The sequence below is a fragment of the Homo sapiens genome, chromosome 4 (assembly GCF_000001405.40).
Source record: "Homo sapiens chromosome 4, GRCh38.p14 Primary Assembly".
NCBI lineage: Eukaryota > Metazoa > Chordata > Mammalia > Primates > Hominidae > Homo > Homo sapiens.
The window spans coordinates 146,132,283-146,140,932 of record NC_000004.12 but is presented as its reverse complement, the minus strand read 5'-3'; the positions used below and the strand labels follow the sequence as shown (position 1 = coordinate 146,140,932).

Sequence of the window (8,650 nt, the reverse complement as noted above, 5' to 3'; positions counted from 1 at the left end):
AAAAGCCATGTATAATATATTCAATATTATTTTTGTTCTAGCATATTGAAAGGGAAAGCTTTTTAAATAAAAGCATGAAAGCCAGTAAGTAAACATGTATCACCCAACTGCACCAAATAAGATAAAGAAAATTGTTAGGTACTTCAACTTGAAATCTATTTGAAAACAATGGGAAAGTTAGTTATTAAGCATTCCAACCATAACAAAATCACTTATTTTAAAAAAGAGAAAAAATTCTTACCAAGTTGATAAAACATCTAGGATATTATAATGACTCAATATACAAACAAATAAACAATAAGCTGAGCTTAAATGCAAGGTTTTGAAATTACTTTTGTATGTATCTCAGTACGCATCTTTTATGTATTTTGAAATCAAACCAGTTTGCAATTTTTACTTTTAAACTCTGAAACAGAGAAGCCAGGGTTTTCTTAGAAAGGCTGTCATCAATACTACCTTCTCCTGGAAAATATGTTAAATGCCAGACTACATGGGTGGGCACTGAAAGTACACTATTGACTATTTAACATTGACATGCTGTCTTTCTGGAAGAAAAACAAAACTGAGGGAGATGGAAAAGAGGTAAATTGAGGTCATCTTGGAGAAAGTAGACTAAGATTGGTTAGTCTAATGGGCTGTTAAGGTTTTTAAAGGATTTTTAAAACAATCACCTTTTTTTCCTTATTACAGAAATAATTCATACTTACTTTAGACATGTTAGAAAATACAATTAAGCAGGTAGAATAATATGAAAACGATAATTCACCCTCCTTAGTGATAAACCCCACCAGTAGTTTGGGATATATTCTTCCAGGATTTTTGTTTCCTTGTTCAGAAAAATATATTAGTTCCACCACTTGAGGGTGTAAAGGTGAAAGTTTTAAGTTGTTAGACTATTTTAAATATTGTTCTGAAACCTGTTTCTTCCCCCAGATCACAACATCTTATATTACTAGAAATTTTTAAAACATCTATTTTTTAAAGGGTTGCCAGAATTGTTCCCAATTTCCTGATACGTAGGGAAATTCACTATAGTTATTTTGCTAAATATTCCATTTTCTTAATTCAATAAAGAGCCTGATTCAGACTATTTGTTCTAGTGAGACTCGAAACAGTCAGCTCTCAATATCTTTTGTGGTCAGAAATAAATGACCAATAAAAAATTAAACATCGACAAATGCCCCCTACATTTATGTTCCCCAAACCTCATTTTAATTGTTTCAATGCATTTTCAAATCCGAAAGGGACCCATTTGTATCTCCAAAGGAAGGTAGAAGATTTTTCTTTAAACCACTCAGGAGGAACTAAGAAAACTTAAGCTCCTAATCATAAATTAAATACAGAATACCCTCCAAAATAAGAGTGGTGATTTTGTCTGTAAACAACTCACTGGTGTTAAGCATGAGAGTAATATCATTTAGTGTTTTAGGACCATCCATCTGGAGGCAAGGAGGTCGCTGGAGGCAATACAAGCAGTGGGGAGGTTATTGTTGCAGATAAAGGACAAATGGCAGGGCAGGACTGAGGCAGGCAGCATACCCAGGGACGGGGAGCAGATTAGAAGTATTCTGAAAAAGTAGATTCACTGAATCTAGGCAAGTAAAGTGGTAAATGTGGAGTCATGAGGGGACAGAAAGAGTCTATGTAAATTGAGGTCATCTTGGACAAAGTCTAATACATTGCCAAGATTTTAAAGGATGTTTCAAAAATCACCCAGGTCTTTTTCTTGGACAACTAAAGTACCAACTAGGGAAAAAGATAAGGATTATAGGAGAAAAGGAACATACGAGGAGAAGCTTGGAGTCGGGCAAAATGATGCCAGTTTTGATCATGTTAAATTTTAATTGCTATGGGACATCTAAATGTAATATGCAGTACACAGTTGGAAACACCATTCTGAAATGTAAGAGAGGTGCGTGGGCTCAGAATATAGATTTAGGGCAATGATTCCCATAACATATTCTGCAGACTACTGTTACTGCAGGACTTCACAAAGCCTTTAGTTTGCTAATGTATCCTGCAAACCCCTAAGAACGAGATGTGTATCACTGGCACTTCTCTAACTTATTTGAACATGGAACCTAGTGCTCTTTGGGTCATCATTTTGTAGGCATTGGTGTGTTGGTGTCATCAGAGGCCGGACACAGATGAGATTCCTAAAGAAATAATTTTGATTGGGAAGAGAAAGTGCTGACGATGAAACTTTGGAGAATCTAAATATGTCATGCCTAAAGAGTTGAAGGCCCAGACAGTGCCTTTGATTCCCCTTTATCTTACTTTTCTATCCTGATGAAAATTTTACTATTCTTATACTGCCCTGGAAGAAATAAAATTATGTCTTAATAAAATTGTGTCTTTGCAATTTACTTAGGTGTATTAGGTGATTTTGACAATTCCATCTCCATTCGCATATTTATAAAACTTCTTTTAACTCTGAAAAACTGTACCCCCAAATTCAGACGTATGCTGGCGAATACCAACATTTAAGAGGTGTGCAATAGAAGAAGAGGCTGGAAAGGGACAAGGGGGAAAGATTGGAACAGCCAGGAAGGAGGCCCTGCTTAGAAGATGTGGTAGATAATTGTGTGTCAACTTGGCCAGGTTCTGATGCCGAAGACAACTAGTCTAGATGTTGCTACAAAGGTATTTTGTAGATGTGATTAAGTTACAATTAGTTGACTGTAAGTAAGACAGATTACCCTTGATAAGGGAGGTGGGTTTCATTTGATTAGTTGAAGGCACTCAGAGCGAAAACCAAGATTGCCAGAAGTAGAAGGAATTCTGTCTCAAGACAGCAACATAGAAACCCTGCCTGAGTTTCCAGCCTGCTGGCCTGTCTTACAGATTTCAGATTCGCCAGCCCCCACAATCCTGTGAGCCCATTCCTTAAAATAACTCCCTCCCCCTCTCTCTCTCTGCCTGACTCGATACAGAAGCTGAATGAGGAGAGTATTTCAAAGAGAAGACCACGGTCAACACTGTTCAGTGCCTTAGAGGGTCAAGTAAGATGAATAAAAGAAACATCATCAAATCTAATGGAGTTTTAAAGCCTCCCTATAGTACTAACTTTTTTTGACTGTTTTAATTCTATTTTTTTTTTTTTTTTTTTTTTGGAGATGGAATCTTGCTATGTTGTCTAGGCTGGACTACAGTGGCCATTCACAGGCACAATCGTGGTGCACTGCAGCCTTGATGGCTTGATCCTCCTACCTCAGACTCCTGAGTAGCTGGGACCACAGGCATGCCCCACCATGCGTGGCTTCCATTTTTGAGAAGCATTTCAAACCAATGTAACCATCTTCCTACTTTGATCACTGTCACCCCTTGTTTACAGGGTTGCAAGCTGAAATGTAAACTCTTCTCAGTTATGAGTTCCTGCCAGAATTTATTCTTCTTTTGTAATCCTGACAGTTCCTAGTACTGAACCCAGTGGGGTCAAAGAACGTTAATCTGAATTATCTTCCTTTCATCACCTGTAATTAATGAGATACAAAGTGTAATCATTTCCTCTTTCTTGCTCAAATCTGTCCTGTTTGTTGTTGTTGTTGTTGTTGAGACAGGGTCCCTTGATCCCCTAGGCTCAAGCAATCCTCCTGCATCAGCTTCCTGAGTAGCTGGGACTACAGGTATGCGCCACCACACCTGGCTAATTTTAATTTTTTGGCTAGAGACAGGGTTCTTACTCTGTTACGCAGGCTGGTCTCCAACTCCTGGGTTCAAGCAATCCTCCTACCTTGGCCTCCCAAAGTGTAGGGATTATAGGCATGAGCCCTGCACCTGTCCTGTCCTGTTCCTGTCCTGTTCCTATTTGTATCACTGTAGCCCAGACCTTCATTTCCCTGTACTCTCAGGAGCTTTGAGGCTAAGCAGGACTTCAGGGTTGGTGGTGGCAGAACATGAACAAGAGGGATTGAGGAGCCTCCTGGGAAGAACTGGTTCTAAGAAGAAACAGACATGTGCTGTGGCTCAGCTCAGAGGAAGGGCATTCCTAGCACAGCGTTGGCGTCATTCCCCCACACTACAGCCCACTCCAGCTTCAGCTTGTGCCCGAGTCCTCGGGAGAGACAGGAGGACAGAAAGGGTCTTTCCCACAGTCTTCACAATCTTTCTGAGACTCTGGAAATTCAAGGCAGTGCTCAGCCTTGGGAAAATGCAGCAGAGTAATATTGAAGGAGGTGTGAAGGATTCTGTCCACGTTATTACAGAATATAAAAGCTTGGCTTTTGTGGATTTCAGACAGTAGTGTGCTGGGAAATGTTTAACAACCAGCTCTCTGGAAAAAATAAATAGATAGAAGCTGTAATCCGTCCTGAGTCTAATCACATCACATCGGCAGCTTGAAATTAACCATGGTGGGAAAGCTCATACCATGAAAATCAGCAAGTTTTACAGAGAAGGCAGTAGCACATCTTTCTATAATATTTTCACTGTACAAATACAATAGATGTAAATAACTTTAAGAACATAGATTATAGTAAAATAATTTGGAAGTGATGAGTTTTGAAGATACATTGCTTTTGTTTTTGATATAATTTATTTTGCTGCCAGTTTATATAATTTAATTTTTAATAATGCGCATGTTTAACAATCACAGGCAAAATTCCTAAACATGTAACAATTGGCTGTGGTCAGCCTGTCCGCACAGGCTCTAGTACACCACTGATTCTGGACTTCAGAGCATAGCACACCTGGGGCATCAGGGGCCTGGTGCTTCCACAGCACCTACAGCCGTGGCTGTGACAAGCCTCAATGCACAAAATTTGCTACTGCTTACTGAGTTTAACTGAAAAGCAAATTGAGTTTAACTTAGCAAGGTCAGCTGCAACAAGTCTGCAATGCTCATTCATTTCTGTGAATGAAAGCTTCATCATCTCTAGTTCATGACAGAATGTAACAGCAGAGCAGGCTCTAGGAAGTCTTCTTGCATTTCATCAGTGTTTCTTCCTTCTTGTCAGTCTTTCTTTTTATTTTAATGCCTTTCCTTGCCAAAAAATGCCCAGTGAACTTTGTTCAAGACTCCCAAATTCCTTTGGCTGTAGTTGGCTTCATTTTTGCAACTTGCTATCTTATTTTTCCAAAATGAAGTTTTTCTTTTTTGTATTTTTTTCTTATTAAAAAAGCAATCATACCTTTGTTTCAGGAGGAAAAATGGGAAAACATAGTTAAATAAAAATGATATAAAACAAACCATGTTAAAAAAAAAACCACTATTGTTAATAACATTATTGCCCTTGTCTGCCTATTCCTGGCTCCATGGTGCTTACCTGAACTTGCCTTACTATTGAAAAAGTTCATTCTACCTTGAGGGTAGATCTTAGAAGGGTAGGTTTTTTTACGACCTTTTTTCGGGGGCAGGGGGTGGGCATCAGAGCAGAGGTTCACAGCTTCTTTTCATTAATAAATTATTTAAACTCATAGGAGGTTAGCTTTCCCTATCCCACTCCTATAACCTTCCTAGTCCTTCTTTAGCCTCTTAACTGATTTGAGGCCTTTATCCATGAGCTAGAGGGGGAAGCTTCTTGGAAAAGGGCAACTCTGGTATTTTTGCAATAGTGCTTCTTACCTCTCTACAACTATCAGAGCCACTTTTTCCAGGTCCTCACCAGTACACAAAGAGTAATTTGCTGTCTGTCTGCAATGACGCTTCTCTGGCTGCCAAGGCAGTGTGTGGCTCTGGGGAAGAAAGACGGCCTATGCTTCTTGTTGTGTCTTTCTGTGCTTTGCAATGCCCCATTTGTATCTTTTGCTTATACAAAAGAAATTTTCATTTTAAAAGAAGCATCCTGAATCCAGAAAATCCTATAATACTAATTTCTTTTCTAAGAGGAGAAAGAATAGAGTGAAAACAATGCATGGTGATTAAAGATTTCCACGGCGACAGCTCCCTGGAGTGAAACACGAGGCCCTACTTTGGCAGCACCATCCACCAGGAAGGCTCTTCGTGGACATGCTGTGTCACTTGCTTCAGTCCCTATCTGAGCCGGGATTGGACTGGCACATTGCCTTGTTGAAATTGGCTCCGCACCTTGTTTAAGTGGGCATCCTGCCATACTAATTGATGGGTATGAGTGCAGACATGCTAGAGAACCAGGATGCACAGCAGATCTGGGTAGGAGAAGAGTTTCAGCCCAGAAATATCAAAACAGTCAATTGTGCTGAGTTTGTGTGCCAGGGCCTAGAAGAAGATGGTATCAATGCTCTGCTGCAGCTCAGAGCTGGATTTATTTTTAAATGCCCCAAATAGCTGAAAAAACAAGGAAGGTATGGGCCTGAGAAGGAGCAGGAAGGGGCAAGGTTATTGACTTTCAAAAGAAATAGCTAGTGTCTGCCAACTGGGGTACAAGAAGGTTTTTCATCCAAGCTGTTCCATGATTACAGTAACTTTCAAGCTGAGTGCTTTGGGCAGATATGGAAATCGGAGGCACCTCCTGATGGGGCTTCCCAGGTAAGTCACAACAGGGACTGCTGAGGGTGGATGCAGACGGCCGCTCCCAACCTGGGGAACATCCTCCCTGCTTGTCTGTGATGCCTCAGCTACCCCATGAGATCAACGAGCTCATCAAGTGCATCCAGCAGCCCAGCCCCTCCCTGAGAAGCACAGCCATCAACCCGTGTCCTTCCGTCAGTTCCATTTTTTGGAACACAATTGTCCCTCCATTGAAAGAACAGCTGGCTAACAATCCAAGTTGGTGCAGAAGAGAGAAATTTTTCAATATTAAAATGAGGAAGATGTCAAAGAGAGTTCTGAATGCATGTTAACACAGACTACCCCGTGTTTCCCTCTATGGCTGGCAGTCACCTTCTTCAAACCACCTAATGATAAACAGCCCAGGAAAAAATGACATTGGACTCCAACACCTAATAACAGAGATAATAATAGGGTCATCAAGAGACAGAACGAGGTAAATGACAACCACACTGATGCTGGTGGAGATGAAATCTGTACCTCAATATGGCCATATGTTACAGCATAACATACAAGGCTGAAATACAAAAAACTTTGGCTGGACTTCAAGAAAGTGCCTGTTTGAAGACTTGAAAAACTCACTCTTTGAATTGTCCCATCATTATTTGAATCAATTGACAACATGGGGGAATATGGACTGGTCTGTTTAGCCTCCCTGAGCTTTTGAATCAGATCCATTTTATTAACAATTGAATTCTGCACAGAGTAGGATTAGAAGCCATTGCTCTGACCCCAATTTTATATAATTTCTCCCTTCCTGATGGTAAGAGTGCTTCATAGTTTTCTAGTATTTAAGTCATGAAGTCAAGATGAAGAACTATATACACAGTGGCCAAAGTAAATGTGATCATGTTTAACTCACGTTTAGTTTCTCCTTACTTACAATTTTTTTGGTGTGTGTGTGTGTGTGTGTGTGTGTGTGTGTGTGTGTGTGTGTGTGTGTTTGTGTGGCATTTAAAAAAAGTCAACCTAAAAGGAATAGAATCAAGGAGGGATAGTGGAAGCCAAACAAAATCCTCTCAGTTTTAGCTAAATTTAAAAGATTGGAAGTAAGTCTATTTTGCTTTTACCATAAGGCCCCGATTATTCACTTGAAACCAATGGAAAGCATTGAATTCAAGAACAAAAGCCACAAGAAAATCTTTGTGTAATACTTGGAGATGGTACTGAAAGAACAGGAGGAAGTACGTTGATTGGATTACACTCAGTGAAAGGTAAGCAAAATCATTTGGGTTTAATGGTTCTACTTCTAATATCTCATAATTTGGGATGCATTCTAAGCTTCTTACATAGAAACGTGTGTCCATAATTCCCAGTTGTGCTCATTAGAATGACTCATGCCTATGGACATTTTCTTATCTTGGATTCGAATCACATAAATTTTGATGAGTCCATCAGCTTTCTAAACTGACTGTCGTTCTCCACACAAACAGCCCTATTCACAAGGAGCTTCGAGGAGTTCCAGGTTGGTGGGAGTCACGCAAAAATTTTTCAAGCATTTTCTCTTCATGGCTAATTAAGATCAGAGGATGGAAGCAGGTCATTTTCCTCCTCAGTTTTCCTCATGTCCTTGGTTAACTTGCCCTGCCTAGTAACCTTTAAAACTTGAATTCCGCAATTCCTTCTGACATCCCCCAAGCTGCTCAGAAATAGCGTACTGCCCAGCGTTTCCCTTTATGATTCTGGCTTCTGAAACCGGGTGGTGTATGATGGATGACTCTTTCCATTTTGAGTATTTTCCTTCACAATTCTGACTTCTCACGCACTCAACAACCAACTCTTTGCAGGGTAAGAAATGATTTCTCTCTCTCCAAAGGCACCATTCGCCACAATGCTGCACTCAGAGTTCTCAGTGGCCAGCCCAGTGTTCGTCAGGCACACCCCACGGGATTCCCCAGTGTCTATTACTCACAGTTTCACTCACTCATGTCCTGACCCTGTCTTGACTCAGTGGAAGAGCAGCCCAGGCCAGCAGCAGGTGCAGCTTGTAGTTACCCTTGTGACCATATACAATCTAGAATACTTGAGGTGAGGCCTTGGGACCTGAGACCCCCTGAGTAGTCCCCTCCCTGTACTCATTTCCCAGGGCTGCTGTAACAAAGTACCACAATCACAAACTGGGTGGCTTAGAACAACAGAAATTTATTGCTTCACAGTCCCGTGAGCCAGAAGTGCAAAGGTAAG

General features: G+C 40.5%; 1 annotated feature.

Annotated features, from left to right (window-relative positions):
* Positions 8,138-8,187: an enhancer, noted in NCBI's record as "active region_21980". NCBI's record gives its function as "activates an Ori minimal core promoter by ATAC-STARR-seq in GM12878 lymphoblastoid cells {active_cell/tissue: GM12878}" and the evidence as "EXISTENCE:reporter gene assay evidence [ECO:0000049][PMID:35858748]".